The sequence below is a fragment of the Homo sapiens genome, chromosome 22, assembly GCF_000001405.40.
Source record: "Homo sapiens chromosome 22, GRCh38.p14 Primary Assembly".
In the NCBI taxonomy this organism is placed as follows: Eukaryota; Metazoa; Chordata; class Mammalia; order Primates; family Hominidae; genus Homo; species Homo sapiens.
This window is the reverse complement of record NC_000022.11, coordinates 28,709,565-28,732,741: the sequence shown is the minus strand read 5'-3', so window position 1 is coordinate 28,732,741 and position 23,177 is coordinate 28,709,565. Positions and strand designations below refer to the sequence as shown.

The 23,177-nt window shown below is 42.2% G+C and overlaps 1 protein-coding gene across 24 annotated transcripts in view; it reads left to right on the top strand.

Moving 5' to 3' along the window:
• Positions 1-23,177, top strand: part of CHEK2 (checkpoint kinase 2) — a 54,093-nt gene that overhangs the window by 9,093 nt on the left and 21,823 nt on the right. For 8 of the 24 annotated variants that reach the window (XR_937806.3, XR_007067954.1, XR_937807.3 and 5 more), the window contains exons 3-8: positions 2,194-2,322; positions 7,375-7,499; positions 7,618-7,765; positions 13,257-13,347; positions 20,725-20,833; positions 22,683-22,736. Coding sequence is in view for 20 of the 24 variants with exons in the window: in NM_001438294.1 (NP_001425223.1) it covers positions 2,194-2,322; positions 7,375-7,499; positions 7,618-7,765; positions 13,257-13,347; positions 20,725-20,833; positions 22,683-22,736 (656 nt within the window). In the remaining 4 variants the exon portion in view is untranslated. Of the gene's footprint in view, positions 1-2,193; positions 2,323-7,374; positions 7,500-7,617; positions 7,766-7,818; positions 7,857-11,110; positions 11,225-13,256; positions 13,348-20,257; positions 20,631-20,724; positions 20,834-22,682; positions 22,737-23,177 lie in introns of those variants that run through there. The other 16 variants (XR_007067955.1, NM_001437942.1, NM_145862.3 and 13 more) reach the window with 7 other exon arrangements.

Below are 23,177 nucleotides of genomic sequence, written 5' to 3'. Positions count from 1 at the left end.
ATATAAAGAAATGAAGGACTGATGTATCATTTTGTGTTTTGTCACTCACCATCCTTGTTTTATTTCATGTCTAACTTTGATATCTTGAAAAAACTATAAAAAATGGAGGAATATACCTGCATTCCACATATACAACTTTAAATTTATAAGTAGACACTCGAAGCTATTTTTAACTGATTTAAAATATATTTTTCAGACCGGGCATTGTGGCTCATGCCTGTAATCCCAGCACGTTGAGAGACCAAGGCAGGTGGATCACCTGAGGTCAGGAGTTTGAGGCCATCCTGGCCAACATGGGGAAACCCTGTCTCTGTTAAAAATACAAAAATTAGGCCAGGCGTGGTGGCTCATGCCTGTAATCCCAGCACTTTGGGAGGCCGAGATGGGCGGATCACCTGAGATCGGGAGTTCGAGACCAGCCTGACCAACATGGAGAAACCCTGTCTCTACTAAAAATACAAAATTAGCTGGGCATGGTGGCGGGCTCCTGTAATCCCAGCTACTCAGGAGGCTGAGGCAGGAGAATCGGTTGAACCTGGGAGGCAGAGGTTGCAGTGAACCGAGATCTCGCCATTGCACTCCAGCCTGGGCAACAAGAGCGAAACTCCATCTCAAAAAAAAAAGAAAAAAAAATTTGCGGGGCGTTGTGGCAGGCATCTGTAATCCCACCCACACAGGAGGCTGAGACAGGAGAATTGCTGGAACTTGGGAGGTGGAGGTTGCAGTGAGCTGAGATTGCGCTACTGCAGTCCCGCCTGGGTGACAGAGCGAGATTCCGTCTCCAAAAAATAAACAAATAAATAAAATACAATATATTTTTTCAGATAGGCCTATAGGTTTAGATGAGTGAGAAATAGAAATGGTGAGAAAGGGCTAAATGGGATACATCACCTTTAAAAGTAAGAAAACAAAGAGGCTGGGTGCAGGGGCTCTCAACTGTAATCCCAGCTCTTAGAGCAGCAGAGGTGGGAGGATAGCTTGAACCCAGGAGTTTGAGACCTGCTGGGCAATATAGCGAGACCCCATTCTCCACAAAAAGGAAAAACAAAAAAAGACAAGTAAACAAAGATCCTGATAGGATGACCAGCATAAAGTAGGTGCTGAATAAATAGAGACTGTTTATCATTATTATTATTATTATTATTTGAGACGGAGTCTCACTCTGTCACCCAGGCTGGAGTGCAGTGGTACGATCTTGGCTCACTGCAACCTCAATCTCCTGGGTTGAAGCCATTCTCCTGCCTCAGCCACCTGAGTAGCTGGGATTACAGGTGCCCACCACCGTGGCTAAGTTCTGTATTTTTTAGTAGGGACGGGTTGTCATCATATTGGCCAGGCTGGTTTCAAACTCCTGACCTCAGGTGATCTGCCCGCCTTGGCCTCCCAAAGTGGTGGGATTACAGGCGCGAGCCACCACGTCTGGCCGAGGCTGTTTATTATTATTATTTGTTAATTATTTATACCTATGTTTTCTTTTAAAATTTTACAGTTTTAATTCCTTTTTTTAAATTTTTGTTTGTTTGTTTGTTTGTTTATTTTGAGACAGGATCTCACTCTGTCATCCAGGCTGGAGTGCAGTGGCACAATCTCAGCTCACTTCAGCCTCTGCCTCCCAGGCTCAAGCAATTCTCCCACTTCAGCCTCCTGAGTAGCTGGGACCACAGATGTGCACCACCACTCCCAGCTAACTTTTTGTATTCTTGGTGGAGATGGGGTTTCATCATGTTGCAGTCTGGTCTCAAACTCCTGAGCTCAAGCAATACATCCATCTTGGCTTCCCAAAGTGTTAGGATTACAGGCATAAGCCACAGTGCCTGGCCTAGTTTTAGCTCTTATGTTTAATTAAGGTCCTTTATTCATTTTAAGTTTTATTTATTTATTTATTGAGACGGAGCCTTGCTCTGTCACCAGGCTGGATTGCAATGTCATGATCTCGGCTCACCGCAACCTCCTCCTCCCGGTTTCAAGCGATTCTCCTGCCTCAGCCTCCCAAGTAGCTGGGATTACATGCTTATGCCACCATGCCTGGCTAATTTTTGTATTTTTAGTAGAGATGGGGTTTCACCATGTTGGCCAGGCTGGTCTCGAACTCCTGCCCTCGGGTGATCCACCCGCCTCGGCCTCCCAAAGTGCTGGGATTACAGGCATGAGCCACCGTGGCTGGCCTAACTTTTTTATTTTTATTTTTTGTAGAGACAGAGTCTGGCCATGTTACCCAATCTGATCTTGAACTCCTGCTGTCATCTGATCCTCCTGCCTCAGCCTCCCAAAGTGCTGGGATAAGAGGTGTGAGGCACCATCCCCGGCCAGTTTGCAGTCTAAGTATGATGTTAGCTGTGGGTCTTTCCCTTTCCCTTTCTCTTTCCCTTTTCCTTTTCCTTTCCCCTTTCCCCTTTCTTTTTTCCTTTCCTTTCCTTTCCCTTCTGCTTTCCTTTCCCTTCCGCTTTCCTTTCCTTTCCCTTCCGCTTTCCTTTCCTCCCCTCCCCTCCTCTCCTCTCCTCTTTTCTTTCCTCTTCTCTCTCCTCTTCTCTCTTCCTCTCTCCTTTCTCCTCTGATATCTGAAGACTAAGCTGTGGATGTTTCATAAAAGTTCTTTCTGGGGTGGGTGCAGTGGCTCATGCCTGTAATCCAAGCACTTTGGGAGGCTGAGGTGGGCGGATCACAAGGTCAGGAGATCGAGACCATCCTGGCCAACATGGTGAAACCCCGTCTCTACTAAAAATACAAAAACAAAATTAGCCGGGCGTGGTGGCAGGAGCCTGTAGTTCCAGCTAGTTGGTGATAGAGTGAGACTCTGACTCAAAAGAAAAAAAAAATGCTTTCTGGCTGGTTGCTCTGACTCTTTCACCCTATAATCTCAGTGCTTTGGGAGCCTATGGCAGGAGAAGTGCTTAAGGCCACGAGTTGGAGACTGCAGCAAGCTATGATTGCAGGCCACAGAGCAAGACTTTGCCTCTAAATTAAAAATAAATAGATAATAAATAAAATAAAAGCTCTTTATTAGGTTGAAGGAGTTTACTCCTATTCCTAGTTTTCTGAGTATTTTTTGTTATAAAAGGGTGTTGCATTTTGCCAAAATTTTTTTCTGTGTCTATTTTCCTATATTCTATTGTTATCGTGTATTATATTAATTGGTTTTCAGATGTTAAACCAACCAAGCTTTCCTGGGTTAATTCTTTTTTTTTTTTTTTTTTTTTTTTTGAGATGGAGTCTCGCTGTCGCCCAGGCTGGAGTGCAGTGGCGTGATCTCGGCTCACTGCAGGGTCTGCCCCCTGGGGTTCACGCCATTCTCTTGCCTCAGCCTCCCGAGTAGCTGGGACTACAGGCGCCCGCCACCTCGCCCGGCTAATTTTTTGTATTTTTAGTAGAGACGGGGTTTCACCGTGTTAGCCAGGATGGTCTCCATCTCCTGACCTCGTGATCGCCCGCCTCGGCCTCCCAAAGTGCTGGGAATACAGATGTGAGCCACCGCGCCTGGCGTCCTGGGTTAATTCTTGTTTGGTCATTTGTAATCTTTTTTATGTGTTGCTGGATTTAGTTTGCTACTGTTTTGTTGAGGATTTTTATATCTATATTCACAAGGGATATTGGTTTGTGGTTTTACTGTGATGTCTCTGTCTGGTTTTGGTATGCTGGCCTCATAGATGAGTTGACAGTGTTCCGTTCCGAATTTCTTCGAAAAGTTTGAGAATAATTGGTATTAGTTCTTTACATATTTGATAGAATTTAAAATGAAGCCAGCCGTGTGTTTCTTTTTTCTTTTTTTTGAGACAGGGTCTCACTCTTACCCACGCTGGAGTGTTACCCACTATCACGTTTCACTGCAGGCTTGACCTCCCAGGCTCAACTCCTACCTCAGCCTCCTGAGTAGCTGGGACCTCAGGCATGTGCCACCATGTGTGGCTAATTTTTTTATTTTGATAGAGATGGGGTGTCCCTATGTTGCTCAAGCTAAAGTGAGGCAATCTGGGACTGCACTTTTCTTTGTAGGGATATTTTGATTACTCATTCAGTCTTTTGTTTTGTTTTGTTTTTTTGGAGACAGAGTCTCTCTCTCTGTCACCCAGGCTGGAGTGCAGTGGCACAATATTGGCTCACTGCAGCCTCTGCCTCACAGGTTCAAACGATTCTTGTGCCTCAGCCTCCAGAGTAGCTGGGACTACAGGGGCGCGCCACCACACCTGGCTAAATTTTTTTTTGTTTTGTTTTTAGTAGAGACGGGATTTTGCCATGTTGCACAGGCTGGTCTCAATCTCCTGAAGTCAAGCAATCCGCCTGCCTTGGCCTCCCAATGTGCTAGGATTATCATTCAGTCTTTTCACTTCTTATGGGTATATTCAGATTTTCTGTTTCTTCTTGTGTTAGTTTTGGTAGTTTGTATCTTTCTAGGAGTTTGTCCATTTCACCTATGTCATCTAATACTGTCACACAATTGTTCAATTATTCTTTTTAAATCATTTTTATTTCTGTCAGATCAGTAGTAATTATCTCTCTCATTCTAATTTTAGTAATTTGAGTCTTGTCTCTTTTTTTCTTGTTCAGTCTGTCTAAGGTTTGCCAACTTGTTGATCTTTTTAACTAACTAAATTTGGATTTGTTAATTTTCTTTTTCTTTCTAGAGATAGGGTCTCACTCTCACTCTGGAGTGAGTGGTGCAACCACAGCTTAGTGCAGCCTCGACCTTCAGGCTCAAGTGATCCTCCTTCCTTGGCCTCCCAAAGTACTGGGATTACAGGTGTGAGCCATCGTGCCCAGCCCATATGTAATTTTGATAGATCTTGCTAAATTGTCCTCCCTAGACAATTATAGACAATGTGTGTATAAATTATATTCCCAATGGCAATGTATGAGAGTACCCGCTTTTTCATACCTCTTGCCAGCACAGGGTGATATGAAACTTTTGGATTTTTGCCAATCTAATAGGTAAAACATGAAATCTTAATGTGTTTTTGATTTCTGAATTTTCTTATATTGGGTTAGCTTGGCCACCTTTCATATGTTTGAGCCAGCTGTATTTCTGTTTCTTGTAAATTATCTTTTCATATCCTTTACCTATTTTTCTACTGGACTGTTTAGCGTTTTCACTGATTTATAGGAACCTAACATTTATTAGGGAAATTATTCCTTTTCCTGATAGGAGTTGCTAGTATTTTCCCTAGTCTGCCTTGCAATGAACATTTAATTACCTGCCATGTGCAATATCCCAAGTGCTGGAGTTGTACTGTTAAACAAGAGGTCTCCAGCTGCCCTCCTGGAGGTTATGTTCTAATGCAGGGAGGTGGGGAGAAAATATACAAATAAGCAAGGTAATTTCCAGCCGTGGCCCATACCCAAAAAGATATAAAACAGGATAACATTATGATAACAGGTGAGTAATGTTTATATAACAAGCTGAGCGGGAGGCCGGGTGTGGTGGCGCATGCCTGTTATCCCAGCACTTTGGGAGGCCGAGGCGGGCGGATCACAAGTTCAGGAGATCGAGACCATCCTGTCTAACATGGCGAAACCCCGTCTCTACTAAAATTACAAAAAATTAGCTGGGCATGGTGGCACGTGCCTGTAGTCCCAGCCACTCGGGAGGCTGAGGCAGGAGAATCGCTTGAACCTGGGAGGTGGAGGTTGCAGTGAGCCGAGATCGCGCCACCGCACTCCAGCCTGGGCGACAGAGCGAGACTCCATCTCAAAGAAAGAAAGCTGAGTGGGAGATGATAGTAGAGTCCTAAAGGCAGATAGTGTTGTGTAGATAGTATCTGTTATACAAAAGGCAAGGTGGAATGAGCCATTTGTGTAGTTGGGGAAGAAGTGCTAAGACCACAAGGCAGATTGAACCCAGCATTCTTGGGGGCAGTGAAAGGAGGCCAGTGGTGCTGGGTGTCATGAGCAAGGGGAGAGGGGTATGAGGTGGGGCTGGAATGGTGGCAGACGCCAGACCCTGAGCATCTAGTAGGCCATGAGGAAGAGTGCAGATTTTATGCTAAGTGTCATGGAAAACCTCAGGAAGGTAATAAGCAGGAAATTACTGTATTGCAAGTAATTTTCCAAGTCATTAAAAATTACTCGAGAACTTTTAATGACTATTTGTTATTTCACGGTTTTATATATATATGTATGTGTATGTGTGTGTTTGTGTATATAAATACATATATTAATAGATTATAATATATATTATATATTATTATATATTTAGATATAATTACTATATTATAAATATATAATATATGTTATATTGTGTATAAATATATAATTATATTTAAGACAACTTATAAAATAAATTTATATAACATGTATAATAAATACAAATTATATATATTATATATAATAAATATAAAATAAATATATAATATATATTAAATATTTGTTTATTTATTTTTTTGAGACAGGGTCTTGCTCTGTTGCCCAGGTTGGAGTACAGTGGCAGGATCACAGCCCATTGTAGCATCAGCTTATCTTGCTCAAGTGATCCTCCTCCTTCAGCCTCCTGAGTAGCTGGACTACAGGCATGCACCACCACATCTGGTTAATTGTTTTTTGTTTTTTTTCAGACAGAGTCTTGCTTTGTCGTCCAGGCTGGAGTGCAGTGGCGCAATCTTGGCTCACTGCATCCTCCACCTCCCAGGTTCAAGCAATTCTCTGCCTCAGCTTCCCGAGTAACTGGGATTACAGGCACCCGCCACCACGCCCAGCTAATTTTTGTATTTTTTAGTAGAGACAGGGTTTCACCATCTTGGCCAGGCTGGTCTTGAACTCCTGACCTCGTGATCCATTCGTCTCAGCCTCCCAAAGTGCTGGGATTACAGGCATGAGCCACCACACCTGGCCATTTTTTTTTTTTTGAAACTGGGTCTCACTCTGTCGCCCAGGCTAGTGTGCAGTGGCGCAGTCTCAGCTCACTGCAGCCTCGACCTCCTGGGCTCAAGCGATCCTCCCACCTCAGCCTCCTGAGTAGCTGAGACCACAGGGACCCACCACCACACCCTGCTGATTTTTTATTTTTTGTAGAGATAGGGTTTCACCATGTTGCCCAGACTAATTTTTAAATTCTTGGTAGAGATGGGTGCCCCCTATGTTGCCCAGGCTGGTCATGAGCTCCTGGGGTCAAGTGATCCTCCTGCCTTAGCCTTCCAAAGGGCTGAGATTACAGGTGTGAGCCACTGTGCCTGGCCATGTGGTTATAGATAAACTGCCATTTGTTAAACTCATTGGTAATGTTGTTTTTTCTCTCCTAATTTTTAATCTTGTAAAATCTTGATAAGCAGATTGATAATTCTGATTGCCTTCTTAGGCTATTTTCCTACAATTAGCATTTATGAGCAATTTTTAAACGTTTGATACATGAAATTCAACAGCCCTCTGATGCATGCTTTTATATTACAGAATGTGTGAATGACAACTACTGGTTTGGGAGGGACAAAAGCTGTGAATATTGCTTTGATGAACCACTGCTGAAAAGAACAGATAAATACCGAACATACAGCAAGAAACACTTTCGGATTTTCAGGGTAGGTAATGAATACCCATGTATCTAGGAGAGCTGGTAATTTGGTCATTGTTTTTAGATATTTTCCCACTATAAATCTCTGCTATTCAAAGTCTGAAACAAAATGTTCTCTATTTTAGGAAGTGGGTCCTAAAAACTCTTACATTGCATACATAGAAGATCACAGTGGCAATGGAACCTTTGTAAATACAGAGCTTGTAGGGAAAGGAAAACGCCGTCCTTTGAATAACAATTCTGAAATTGCACTGTCACTAAGCAGAAATAAAGGTAATATTATTATCTTATGGTTACTGGAATTTTTTTTTTCCACTCTCTCATAGGAGGAAAATTTGTCCTGTCCTTACAGAATATGGTTTAAGTGAGTAAAGATGAGTAAGTTGCTGGGCGTGGTGGCTCACACCTGTAATCCCAGCACTTTGGGAGGCTGAGGCGGATGGATCACCTGAGGTCAGGAGTTCGAGACCAGCCTGACCCACATGGAGAAACCCTGTCTCTACTAAAAATACAAAATAAGCCGGGCATGGTGGTGCATGCCTGTAATCCCAGCTATTCGGGAGGCTGAGGCAGGAGAATCGCTTGAACCCGGGAGGCAGAGGTTGCAGTGAGCCAAGATCGTGCCATTGCACTCTAGCCTGGGCAACAAGAGTGAAACTCTGTCTCAAAACAAAAAAAAAGATGAGTAAGTTAGCACTCAAGATTCAACTTTGCCGTCCTAGTTGCATTGTAAAATTATGAAAAAGTTCCATCCAGACAGATTTTTAAGGTTTTAAGGTTTAATTGGTTTTATGTAATGCCATATACTGTTTTTTTTGTTTTGTTTTGTTTTGTTTTTTTTTAGACGGAGTCTTGCACTGTCACCTGGGCTGGAGTGCAGTGGTGCAATCTCGGCTCACCGCAACCTCTGCCTCCCAGTTTCAAGCGATTCTCCTTGCCTCAGCCTCCCAAGTAGCTGGGATTACAGGCTCCTGCCACCACACCCATCTAATTTTTTTGTACTTTTAGTAGAGACGGGGTTTCACTGTGTTGGCCAGGCTGGTCTTGAACTCCTGACCTCGTGATCTGCCTGCTTCAGCCTCCCAAAGTGCTGGGATTACAGGCGTGAGCCCCCGCCTGGCCCATATACTGTTAATTGAATTATCATGGTGATTAAAATAAGTTATAGTTCATTGATTGATTCAGTTTATACCACATCAGTCTTAGATATCTATGAATTGTTGTTTCAGGCCATTAATTCATTTTTCCTTCCTCTTCACCTCATTCTTTCCTTTCTTCATTTTTTCCATTCATTTTTTTCTTTCTTTCTTTTTCGAGACATGGTCTCACTCTGTCTCCCAGGCTGGAGTTCAGTGGCACTGCAACCTCTGCCTCCCAGGCTCAAGTGATCCTCCCACCTTAGCCTCCTGAGTAGCTGTGACCACAGACACATGCCACCACGCCTGGCTAATTTTTTGTATTTTTGGTAGAGACGGGGTTTTACCATGTTGGCCAGACTGGTCTTAGACTTCTGAGCTCAAGCAGTCAGTCTGCCTGCCTTGGCCTCCCAAAGTGCTGGGATTACAGGTGGGAGCCACCATGTCCAGCCCTATTCATTTATTTCTGTATACATTTATTGAGCTCCTTTTTTTTTTTTTTCTTTTTTTTTCCTTGTGACGGAGCCTTGCTCTGTCGCCCAGGCTGGAGTGCAGTGGCGCGATCTCGGCTCACTGCAAGCTCCGCCTCCCGGGTTCACGCCATTCTCCTGCCTCAGCCTCCCCAGTAGCTGGGACTACAGGCGCCCGCCACCACGCCCACCTAATTTTTTGTATTTTTAGTAGAGACGGGGTTTCACTGTTTTAGCCAGGATGGTCTCGATCTCCTGACCTCGTGATCCACCCGCCTCGGCCTCCCAAAGTGCTGGGATTACAGGCGTGAGCCACCGCGCCCGGCCTATTGAGCTCTTTTTATATGCCAGGTACTAGGCTGTGAGTGCTTCTGTAAGAGGCTCACTTTAGAGCTTCTACCTTTGTAAATACTACAAGGTTATCGTGCACAAGTGGAGATGTTTATCAGCCTCATCAGGTAGCATTTTATAAGCATCCATTTCTGAAACTATGAAAATAACATCTAAAATGAACAACTGTTTTTCTGGGTAATATCTAGAAAGGATACCTGACAAAAACAACCAATAGAGTTAAAAGTAGCTCAGCGTGATTAGACAGGAGGAATACAATTTTTCTTTAGTTAAAGAAACCATAGACGTTCCCAAACTTATCTGAGAGTCGAATGACTTGGAGGGTGTCTATGTGTGTGCGACACATTTTGAAAATAAAGGTTCATATAAGCACTCTTCTCCAGATTCTGGTAGGGATTTTAAAAATCATGCCTCTAGGGGCTGCGGCATGAGTCTGTAGTCCCTGCTACTCAGAAAGGTGAGGCTAGAGGATCCCTTGAGCCCAGGATTTTAAGGCTACAGTGAGCTATGATTGTGCCTGTAAATAGCCACTGCCCTCCAGCTCGGGCAACATGGTGAGACCCCATCTAACCAAACAAAATAAAGTCATGCCTAAGGGATTTTCATGCAAGTCAGTCTTCAGTCTGGTATCTTGGAACTATGTCTATGTTGGGCATCCTAAAGTACATTTTATGATTAACTTAGTTTTCCCTGTTTCTATTTTGACTATTTTGTTTTCTTTTCTTTTCTTTTCTTTTTTTTTTTTTTTTTTTTGAGACGGAGTCTGGCTCTATCGCCCAGGCTGGAGTGCAGTGGCATGATCTCGGCCCACTGCAAGCTCCGCCTCCTGGGTTCACGCCATTCTCCTGCCTCAGCCTCCCAAGTAGTTGGGACTATAGGCGCCCGCCACTGCGCCCGGCTAATTTTTTGTATTTTTAGTAGAGACGGGGTTTCACCGTGTTAGCCAGGATGGTCTCCATCTCCTGACCTCGTGATCCTTCCGCCTCGGCCTTCCAAAGTGCTGGGATTACAGGCGTGAGCCACCGCGCCCGGCGACCATTTTGTTTTCTATCTGACAGTTATAGTCAGGGCAGCTGCTTTAGGTTTTGCTGTTTGTGGGTACCTAGGGGAGGAGGCAACTGGGTGCTGAAATTTGGTCTGTCCTCTCCTTGACAAGCTGTGTGCCACCTTCTCATTGGTCTACTCAAAGGGCACTTTTCTTCCTCTTTTAAAAAAATTAAATAAACATTAAAAAATTTATTTAATAGATAAATAAAAATTATAGGCTGGCGTGGTAGCTCATGCCTGTAATCTCAGCACTTTGGGAGGCCAAGACAGGAAGATTGCTTGAGTCCAGGAATTCGAGACCAGCTTGGGCAACATAGTGAGACCCCATCTCTGCCAAACATAAAAAAATTAGCTGGGCATGCTGCTGTGTTCCTGTAGTCCCAGCTACTTGGGAGTCTGAGGTGGGAGGATTGCTTGAGCCTGGGAGGTCGAGGCTACAGTGAGCCATGATTGCACCACTGTACTCTTCCCTGGGCAAGAGAGTAAGAACGTGTCTCAAAAAAATTATATGTATTTATCATGTACAACATGTTTTCAAATATGTATACATTGTAGAATGACTAATTTGAGCTAACATGCATTACCTCACATATTTATCTTTTTTTTTTTAATAGAGAAAATACTTAAAATCTACTCTCTCAGCTGATTTTCAAAAATACGGCGGGGCGCGGTGGCTCACGTCTTTAATCCCAGCACTTTGGGAGGCCGAGGCTGGCAGATCACCTGAGGTCAGGAGTTCGAGACCAGCCTGGTCAACGTGGTGAAACTCTGTCTCTATTAAAAATACAAAAATTAGCCGGGCATGATGGCAGGCGCCTGTAATCCCAGCTACTCAGGGGTCTGAGGCAGGAGAATTGCTTGAATCCAGGAGGTGGAGGTTGCAGTGAGCCAAGATTGCACCATTGCACTCTAGCCTGGGGTACAAGAGCGAGACTTCGTCTCAAAAAAAAAAAAAAAAAAAAAACCCAAACAAACAACAAACAAAAAACAGTACATTGTTGTTAACTACAATCACCATGTTGTACAATAAATCTCTGTTTTCTCTAATTTGAACAAAGATGTCATATAGGCTAAAGGTGACCCTTATTAAAGTAGGTCAGACTGGTCCTCTGCAGGCTGCATTTGGCCTATAGATATTTTATTAGGCATTTACTGATACTTACAGTGGTAATGTGAACATCCAGATGTCTTAGAGAAGTTGTAATATGTGGCCACAGTGAGTCTATAGTCCCACAACCGGAGGATCTGTAGGCACTGAGTAGAGGCTGCCTCCTTTAGATGGGAGGTGTGTTTTCTCTCCCCACTTCTCCATGGTGTCTTAAACTCAACACAGCCTGACCCTGTTACATTACCTTCCTGACTTGTGTGGACAATGGCGTTTGAGCCCTTGAAGTAAACCTTGACAGGAGAAATACATCATGAGAGCCAATCAAATTTCTACATTCTCAGATGCCACTGGAACATACAGCGTTATGAATAGCTACAAGCATAGAGGGACACTTGTGCCTGGGTGGCCAGCAGGTGTCTGTCACCAGACAAGTGCCTGCCTCTTGTGTACCAGCCTGAATGAAATATACTCAGGTGGCTCAGATTTGTGCCAGAGACTGGATCCTTAGGTTATTCTAGGGAGGTCAAAACCTGTCACCTGAGATCTGAGAAACTCAAGGGTCTTAACAAATTTCACCTTTCAAGATGGCATAGGCAATTGCAAATTTATCATTGATGACTTTGTAGAATTGAAATATTTGATAATTTATCACAGGCTTGGCCCACGTGGGTGGTTAAATTATTAAATCATCAGCACTGTCCTGGGTTATAGAATTTAAAAAGTAGTTGTTTTACTTTTTTTTTTTTTGGCTGGGCACATTGGCTAACTCCTGTAATCCCAGCACTTTGGGATGCCAAGGTGGGTGGATCACCTGAGGTCAGGAGTTCGAGATCAGCCTGGCCAACATGGTAAAATCCCGTCTCTACTAAAAATACAAAACTTAGCCGGGCATGGTGCTGTTCGCCTGTAATCCCAGCTACTCAGGAGGCTGAGGCACAAAAATTGCTTGAACCTGGGAGGTGGAGGTTGCAGTGAGCTGAGGTCATGCCACTGCACTCCAGCCTGGGCAACAGAGTGAAACTCTCTCAAAAAAAAAAAAAAAAAATTACTTTTTTTAAGATACAGCCCAAATAATGGAGAAAAAAGGGAATTTGTTTAGAAAATGTTATTTACCTAGCTTTACAAATATGTTGAATATGGTTTGCACTATAAAATACTTAATACCGGATATATAAAGGTATAAATGGCTGAGAGATGATAATACCCGTATGGTGATACTGATGGCCTAATTTTCATTGGGATATTTACTTGCCTAGACCATTTTTTCTAGGCTCAGACTGATGGATTGCTTTTTGATTCTGGGCCTGTTGTAAATCTGCATGGGCATTTTATATTAGTGTAATTGATTGATATTCTGAGGTCAAGGAATATAAATAATGTTGTGTTACGGATTTTTTGCACTAGTTTCAGAGTGATGCTTATAGTTCCATTGAAGCATGAAATTTGACTATCATTTATTTCTCAAGGGCTTTACAATATGTATTAGCCCACTAATACCTATTATATTACATACATACTAATTTCCTTAAGGTTACATGTTAAATGTAGTTAAAAACAGTTCTTATATTCCATATGATGAATAAATTTTAGAATCAGTGATCGCCTCTTGTGAATAAATTAATGAAACCCATTTCTACTCTTTTCTTCCTTAGTTTTTGTCTTTTTTGATCTGACTGTAGATGATCAGTCAGTTTATCCTAAGGCATTAAGAGATGAATACATCATGTCAAAAACTCTTGGAAGGTAAATTATTTTCTTATATAAATGCACTTAATTTTTTCACTATACATTTGTGATTGGTGGTTTCTCATTTCTGATTTTATAACACTCATTATGTATTGATAACATTTGTATGGTATCTATTTGTGTATTATTTTTTATTTTTATTTTTGTGTGTTATTTCACACAGTCATTTTAATTTATTTTTATTTTATTTCTTTGTGAGACAGGGTGTTGCTCTGTTACCCAGGCTGGAGGGTAGTGGCACGATCAGAGCTCACTGTGGCCTTGATCTCCCAGGTCAAGGGAGATCAGGCATGCAGCACCATGCACAACTAATGTGTGTTTTTGTTTTTTAGAGTTGGGGTTGCGCTGTGTTGCCAGGGCTGGTCTTGAACTCCTGGGCTCAACCCATCCTCCTGCCTTAGCCTCCCAAAGTGCTGAGATTAGTAGCGTGAGCCACCATGCCCAGCCAAATATTTCTTTTTTTATTTCCTGTGTGTGTGTGTGTGTGTGTGTGTGTGTGTGTGTGTGTTAGTGTCAGAGTCTTGCTCTGTTGCACAGGCTGGAGTGCAGTGGTACGATCTTGACTCACTGCAACCTCCACTTCCAGGGCTCAAGTGATCCTCCCACCTTAGCCTCCCAAGTAGCTGGGACTATGGGCTTGAACCACCGTGCCTGGCTAATTTTTGTATTTTGTGTAGAGATGGGGTATTACCATGTTGCCCAGGCTGGTCTTGAACTCCTAAGCTCAAGCAATCCACCCATCTCGGCCTCCCAAAGTGCTAGGATTACAGGCATGAGCCACTGTGCCTGGCCATGTGTATAGTATTTCATTGTGTATATATACACCACATTTACTTTGTCCGTTCATTCATTTATGGACACTTTGGTTGCTTCCCTATCTTGGCTATTGTGAATAATGCTGAAATGAACATGGGAGTGCAGATATCTCTTCAACATACTGATTTAAATTTTTTTTTGGATATATATCCAGAAGTGGGATTGCTGGATCATATGGTAATTACAATTTTAGCTTTTTGGGGAACCTTTATACTATTTTCCAAAATGGCTGTACTAATTTACTTTCCCACCAACAGTGTACCAGGGTTCTCTTTTCTTCACATCCTCTCCAACATTTGTTATTATTCATCTTTTTGATAATAGCCATTCTAACAGGCTTCAGGTGATGTCATTGTGGTTTTAATTTGCATTTCCTTGATGGCTAGAGATACTGAGCATTTTTCATACATCATGATAGGTGCATTTTTGATGTGTTTGAGGTGAAATTAACTCTTTCGCCTCACGAATTTTATTGGTGATAACTTTTTTTTCTTTGAGACGGAGTTTCACTCTGTCACTCAGACTGAGGTGCAGTGGCGTGATCTTGGCCCACTGCAACCTCCGCCTCCCGGGTTCAAGCGATTCTTCTGCCTCAGCCTCCTGAGTAGCTGGGACTACAGGCTTGCACCATCACAGCCGGCTAATTTTTACTTTATTTTATTTTTTTGAGATGGAGTTTTGTTCTTGTTGCCCAGGCAATGGTGTGGTCTCTTGTTGCCCAGGCAATGGTGTGCAATGGTGTGGTCTCAGCTCAATGCAACCTCTGCCTCCTGGGTTCAAGTGATTCTCCTGCCTCAGCCTCCCAGGTAGCTGGGATTACAGGTGCCCGCCACCACACACCCAGCTAATTTTTTTGTATTTTTAGTAGAGATGAGGTTTCACCATGTTGGCCTGGCTGGTCTTGAACTCCTGACCTCAGGTGATCTGCCTGCCTCGGCCTCCCAGAGTGCTGGATTATAGGCGTGAGCCACCACTCCCGGCCCTAATTTTTATTTTTTTTTTTACTGTAGAGATGAGTCTTGCTGTATTGCCTAGGCTTGTCTCGAACTCCTGGGCTCAAGTTATCCTCCTGCCTCAGCCTCTCAAAATGTTGGGATTACAGGTGTGAACCACTGCATTTTGCCAAGACATTTTTATATTAATTCATTAGGTAAATTTACTACATGTTAAGATGAGTTACATTTATTTTTTTCTTCTTGAGATGGAGTCTCGCTCTGTCACCCAGGCTGGAGTGCAGTGGCACGATCTCAGCTCACTTCAACCTCTGCCTCCCGGGTTCAAGCAATTCTTCTGACTCAGTCACCCAAGTAGCTGGGACTACAGGCCTGTGCCACCACACCCAGCTAATTTTTTGTATTTTTAATAGAGATGGGGTTTTACTGTGTTAGCCAGGATGGTCTCGATCTCCTGACCTCATGATCCGCCTGCCTCGGTCCCCCAAAGTGCTGGGATTATAGGCATGAGCCACCGCGCCTGGCCTGAGTAACATTTTTTATAAAAAATAATTATTAAAAAGATTAGTGAGAAGAGAGGCACTGTTCAACATTTTTGCAAAATTTTTTTAACATCTGGCTTAGTTAGAAGATGGCTAGATTCTGTAATTTGTTTCGTCATTCAGTCTGTTATGTTGTCACACGCCACGTAGTGTCTGGAAATCTCCATACTTATGAGCTAATGAGAATGGAAAACACAAATAATGTCTTAGTATTATTCTGAGCATAGTTGTGGCTTTGTGGATGCCCTGCAAGGTCTTGGGGTCCTTTTGGGGTGATCCAATCATACTTTGAGAACCATTTCTTTAGGAAAGTATCAGGATACTGTTACCACATTACAAAATGTTCTTCATCCCCCTTCCTGTCTCACAAAGGTCTTTCTACTGATATTTTTGGAAACATGGAAGGAAAGTACATAAAAGGAAATAATCATCCATATTCCTGCAACATAGTTAAGCACAGTATCCTCTGTATTATATGGGAGAAATTTTAGTTTACTGATACTGAATTCAGTAACTGATGTGTTTCCATATTTGCACTGGTTGCTTGGAATCTAACCGTCAAACCCTTTCTTAAGAAATGTATGGGCTGGGCACGGTGGCTCACACCTGTAATCCTAGCACTTTGGGAGGCTGAGGCGGGTGGATCACCTGAGGTTGGGGGTTTGAGACCAGCCTGGCCAACATGGTGAAACCCTGTCTCTACTAAAAATATAAAAATTAGCCAGGTGTGGTGACGCATGCCTGTAATCCCAGCTACTTGGGAGGCTGAGGCAGGAGAATAGCTTGAACCCAGGAGGCGGAGGTTGTAGTGAGCTGAGATCACGCCACTGCACTCCACCCTTGGCAACAGAGTGAGACTCTGTCTCAAAAAAAAAAAAAAAGAGAAAAAAGAAAAAAGAAATGTATGAGGCTGGGTATGGTGGCTCATGCCTGTAACCCCAGCACTTTGGGAAGCTAAGGCAGGTGTATCACTTGAGTCCAGGAGTTCAAGACCAGCCTGGGCAGCTGGGCAATAGAGAAATCCTGTCTCTAGAAAAAATAGAAAAAGTTAGCTGAGCGTTGCGGTCTGCACCTGTAGTCCCAGCTACTTGGAAGGTGGAGGTGGGAGGATTACCTGAGCCCAGGAGGTGGAGGCTGCAGTGAGCCATCATCATGCCACTGCATTCCAGCCTGGGCGATAGAGTGAGACAATGTCTCGGGAGGAAAAAAAAAAAAAAGAAGAAGAAATGTATGGAATTCAATGTTTTCCTAAGGGAAGATTTAATATGAATTCTCTAACTTGTAGCAAATGATAGAAACTCAACTCAAATGAGTCAGGTAAGAGAAAAAATTTACTGGCTTTTGTAACTGGGAAATAGCCAGGCCGGGCATAGTGGCTAACGCCTGTAATCCGGGTACTTTGGGAGGCCGAGGCTGGTGGATCACTTGAGGTCAGGAGTTTGAGACCAGCCGGGCTGACACAGTAAAACCCTGTCTCTACTAAAAATATAAACATTAACTGGGTGTGGTGGCATATGTCTGTAGTCCCAGCTACTTGGGAGGTTGAGGCAAGAGAATCGATTGAACCCAGGAGGCGGAGGTTGCAGTGAGCCAAGATGGCATCACTGCACTCCAGCCTGGGTGACAGAGCAAGACCCTGTCTCAAAAAAATAAAATATTAAAATAAATAAATAAATAAATAAAAATAAAAATAAGCAGGCAAATCCTTACTTCAGGCATGGCTGGATCTAGGAGGTCATTAGGCTTTACTTCATGGTCTTTGAGTTCTGATGGTCTGGTTGACTGCGTCTAAGAGCTCCTGCAGTGTCACCAGGGCTCTAGCTCCATCTCTTGATTCAGCTGTTTGTTGGCTTCCTATAGAATTGTTCTCTCTATGTGGTAGGAAAAATGGCTACCAGGGGCTGCAGAATGATATTTTCTTTGTCTAGAAACTACAACAGAGAGAAGTCTGTCTCCCAATGTCAGCATTTGATTTCAAGGGCAACTCTGGCTGTAGGTATGAATGAATGACAGGGTGTTGCTCTGTGTCTCAGGCTGGAGTGCGGTGGCATGATCATGGCTCACTGCTCCAGCTCAGTTTTGGTTATGTAGCTATCCTGTGTTTCTAGGAGTAGGGGTTGTGCCATAGTAGACACCCAGCTAGAGCTGCACGGACTTGGGGAGGAATTCCCAGGCAAAGGGTGACTGTTTCCAGGAGAAGGGAAATTGGAAAGTGCTTTGAGCTGATTTTAAAAAGAATAGTTACATGGACCCTTACCTCATACCATACATAAGAATTAATTCAAAGTGGAACCAAGAATGAAATATAAGAGGTAAAACTATACAACTCTGGGAGGAAAGCATAGGGACAGCTCTTCATGACCTTGTATTTGGCAGTGGTTTCTTACATAAGACACCAAAAGCACAGCAACAAAAGAAAAAATAGATAAATTAGACTTAATCAAAATTAAAAACTTTTGTGCCTCAAAAGATACCTATCAATAAGTGAAAACAAAACCAACAGAATGATTAAATATTTGCAAGCCCTATATCTGATAAGGGCTTATGTCTAGAATAGATAAAGACATCTTAGAACTGTACAATAAAAAAACAAACAACCTGCCATTTAAAAATGGGCAAAGGCACTGCACTGCAGCCTGGGCGACAGAGTGAGATCCTGTCTCTAAAAACAAAACAAAACAAATGGGCAAAGGGCTTGAATAGACATTTCCCTCAAGAACACATACAATGGCCAAAAAGCACATCAAAAGATGCTGAATATCATTAGTCATTAGGGCAATACAAATCAAAACCACAATGAGATACCACTTCACACCTACCTACTAGGCTGACCATAATAAGGAAACAGAAACTAGTAACTGTTGGTGAGGATGTGGAGAAATTGGAACCCCCATGCACTGCTAACGGGAATGTAAAATGATGTAGCCACTGTGGAAAATAGTTTGGTGATTTCTTAAAAAGGTAAACATCTGAGCTCTATGGGGCATAAAAAACAACAACAACAAACAACAACAGAAAAAGGTAAACATAGAATTATCACGTGACTCAGAAATTCTCCTTCTAGGTATATAAATTCCCCAATTTAAAAAACAAGTGTCCAGGCTGGGCACGGTGGCTCACGCCTCTAATCCCAGCACTTTGGGAGGCTGAGGTGGGTAGATAACCTGAGGTCAGGAGTTCGAGACCAGCCTGCCCAACATGGTGAAACCCCGTCTCTACTAAAAATACAAAAATTAGTTGGGCGAGGTGGCACACACCTGTAATCCCAGCTATTCAGGAGGCTGAGGCACGAGAATTGCTTGAAGCCAGGAGGCAGAGGTTGTAGTGAGCCGAGATTGTGCCACTGCACTCCAGCCTGGGTGACAGATCGAGCCTATATCTCAAAAAAAAAGCAAACAAGTGTTCAGACAAAAACTTGTACATGTGGCCGAGTGCGGTGGCTCACGCCTGTAATCCCAGCACTTTGGGAGGCCGAGATGGGAGGATCACGAGGTCAGGAGATCAAGACCATCCTGGCTAACACAGTGAAACCCCCCTCTACTAAAAATACAAAAAGATTAGCCGGGCGTGGTGGCGGGTACCTGTAGTCCCAGCTACTCGGGAGGCTGAGGCAGAATGGCGTGAACCCGGGAGGCGGAGCTTGCGGTGAGCCGAGATCACGCCACTGCACTCCAGCCTGGGCGACTGAGCGAGACTCCATCTCAAAAAAAAAAAAAAAGAAAACTTGTACATAAATGTTCATAGCAGCTTTAGTCACAATGAAGAAGTATAATTTATCTATTGTTTTTCTTTTGTTGCTTATGCTTTTGTTGTCATACTGAAGAAACCATTTACAAAAGGTGGAAACAAACCAAATAAATGTCCGTCGGAAGGTGAATAGATAAACTGTGATACTTCCATATAATGGAATATTATTCAGCTGTAAAAAGGAATGAAGTACCACAAATGTTATGGCATTACGCTAAGTGAAAGAATCCAGACACGAAAGGCTACATATTGTATGATTACATCAATATGAAATATTCAGAATAGGCAAATCAATATTTAGAGAAAGTAGATTAGTGGTTGCCAGGGGCTGGGGGCTGAGTGCTGGGGACAGGGTAGAGTGAGGAGTGACTGCTTAATTGCTTAACAGGTACAGGGTTTCCATTTGAGCTAATGAGAAAGTTCTGGAATTAGATGCTGATGGTTGTAGAACATTGGCAAATGTACTTAATGCTACTGAATTGTACACTTTAAAATGATTACAGTGGTAAATTTTGTGTTATGTATATTTAACACAATAAAAAAGATGTCTTGGTAAGCCCCTCAACTCACCCCTTCAAAACCCACAATAGTTATAATAGTCTACTTCATAATGGGTAATTGATGCCCTAGTAGCCATTATCTTGGGCTGACCCAAGCTTTGGAGGACAGATCCTACTCAGGATTAACTGTGTTCTGGGTAATGGCTTGGAGAGCATTCCTCCTCCATGAGTAGTATCCCATTTAACTGCAAATCTCTGTGAGAGGTTGCTGAAAGTAGGCTGATTGTGTAATACGTTTGGTTTCTTAGGTAATCTGATTTGATTTAGGGTGCAACTTATGTCATCAACTGCTTATGCACTTCCTTTGAAGATGGAGAATAAGAAGGAAAGAAATTTATCCATTAAAGTTATTCATTTGCAGATTCTGTTTACCGTTATTTGTTTGTTTTGGGCACTTATTTTTGACCAGGGAGGACTGTTTCTAGTTAATGTTTTTCTGACCTCTCGGATACGTAGTTTCTCTCTCATTTTTCTCTTAGTATCTTTCTGGGAATTTCACAATCCAGGGCTACAGTAAGACCCATGTTTGTATTGCTGGGCTCAGAAATGGAATTTGGAGCTGACTTAGTGTTTTTGGCTGTTAAGCCCTTGACATTTTACACTGGTGAAGTTTCACTGTGTCCTCTGCAAACAGGGACAATGGAAAGGCTGTTATATGGAATGTCTGTAAATTCTAATACTTGAAGTGGACCCAGGAGTGGTAGGTCTCATAATTAAAAACATTCAGACAATCACTATCTTTGTTTTTCCCTCTAGTGGTGCCTGTGGAGAGGTAAAGCTGGCTTTCGAGAGGAAAACATGTAAGAAAGTAGCCATAAAGATCATCAGCAAAAGGAAGTTTGCTATTGGTTCAGCAAGAGAGGCAGTAAGTACCAATAAAAGGCTGATCACCTTTTATTAACACGTCTTCATAACTTCCCAAAATAATCTTAGATTGATGATTTTTAAACTCAGGAATAACCCCCTGCTTAGATGGATGAATTTGTGAGTATCAAAGAACATGGAAAATTTTGGGGCATCTTTGATTAATCTAGAAACTTTTACTTATAGATAATTTGGTTCCAAAAGTATTTAATTGTACATAATAATGAGCATAGTGGGAAGTTTTTTTTTTTCTTCTTCCAAGTTCAAAGTCGTTACAAGATTGTTTTTACAATAAATGACAGGAAATTAGAGAAAAAAATTCAGCCATAATCCCCACTGTAACCCCACAGCTGTTTTCAGTTTTCCTTTTCCTTCTAGATTTTGTTCAGATGAAATCGTGTTTTTAGATGGTTGAAATCATCTTGTATATACAGTTTTGTATTTTGCTTTTCCACAAATGCATTATAGCATAGACTTTTGCCTAATACATCCTTTTTGATGACTGAGTTTTCATGTCATCAACTTTATTGTAATTTACTTAACCATTTCTCTGGCTGATCATTTAGGTAATTTCTTATTCTTTGCTGTTCTGGGTAATATGGCAGTGAGTATCCCTGGTTTATGGATTAGCCATAGATTTTTAAAATTTTAATTAAATCATTGAAATAGCCTTTCTTTATAGCAGCCATTTATTTTACTACTCTTTTGTAATCAACATTTACTGTATGGGAGAGATGGCCAAATGCATTGGTCTTTCCACATGTGACTCAACAAAGTAATGTAAAACACAGCCTCTAATCACATTTTCCCTAGTGGCCAGCTGTTTCTGGCTATTATACTTTCACATTCTTTAAAGATCAATTTTTTTTCCCCCTAGACAATGCCATTCTCACATGGCAAGAGGAATTTCCTTTTTGTGTTCACTTTGTTATAGATCTTTTCCCCTATGATTCTAAGATTTGTTTCCCATTTTGGGGAGAAGAAAATACCAACTAGATTGTTAAAAACTGGGAGTAAAATTTTACGTTTTGATTTCATTATTTGAATCAGATTGGACCTTTGTGACCATCCTGTTATCAGAGTATACCCTGACTTGGTAATGAGTTTAGCGGCTTACAGGAAGAGGCAGGCTCTTAAAATTAAACATCTGGGTTTCTTAGCTGAAGTTCATTTTACATAAATATGTAATTCTATCTCCTCTTTGCTTGTGGAGGGTGTAGCCCAGGAAGCTGAGTTACTTGATTCATCCTTTTGGAATTGTAACAGAACAACTTTAGTACCCTGAAGCCTCCTCTTGTCAGAGTCTCAGTAAATATGCGAGGCTGCTGTTGAAGTTGGAACCTGTATCTGCTCTATTAGCAGAAATTTGACTTCACATTTTCTTTATATAGTTTAATTGAACACCTTCTTGTTCATGTTTTTTGTTTATCATTTTAATGAATAAAAATAGTTCCATAGCTAATAAGTAGGGTTTACTAATTAAAATGAACACAGTGGAAACACACTTGTTTCTGACTGTGGAGACTAGGGCAAGTGGCTTCTGTTTTCTGAGCCTTGGTTGCCCCATCTGTAAGATGGGGATTCTGAGGCTTATGAGACATGATCTCTGTAAATAAAGAGCTTGGCACAGGGCCTGGCCATTTATTGAGTGCTTACTATTTGCCAAGCATTTTACAAAGTTATTTTAGGTGAGGTATTTAAGTCATTGACCTGGGCTTTGATTTCTTTGTATAAGTAGAGCTGGGTTTGGAACTCAGGCAGCCTTGAGTCAACTGAGTTTAACTGTAAATGTTTTTTTAAATATTGGCAATTATTATTACTAATAAACTCTGTTATTCTGTTTATCAAAGGACCCAGCTCTCAATGTTGAAACAGAAATAGAAATTTTGAAAAAGCTAAATCATGTAAGTATTATTATATGACTCATACTTAGATTTATCTATCTCAAAATATGAGAAGAGTATAAAGCCTTTCAGTATAATAAAGATAATATTGGCCAGGTGTGGTGGCTGATGCCTGTAACCCTAGCACTTTGGGAGGCCGAGGTGGGTGAATCACCTGAGGTCAGGAGTTTGAGACCAGCCTGGCCAACATGGTGAAACCCTGTCTACTAAAAATACAAAAATTTAGCTGGGCATGGTGGCACATGCCTGTAATCCCAACTACTTGGGAGGCTGAGGCAGGAGAAGTGCTTGAACCTGGGAGGCAGAGATTGCAGTGAGCCAAGATCGCGCCACTGCACTCCAGCCTGGGCGACAGAGTGAGACTGTCTCAGAAAAAAAAACAAGAAAAATTAAAAGAATAAATAAAGCTAATATTAACCTGGGTTCTTTAACTTATGTGTA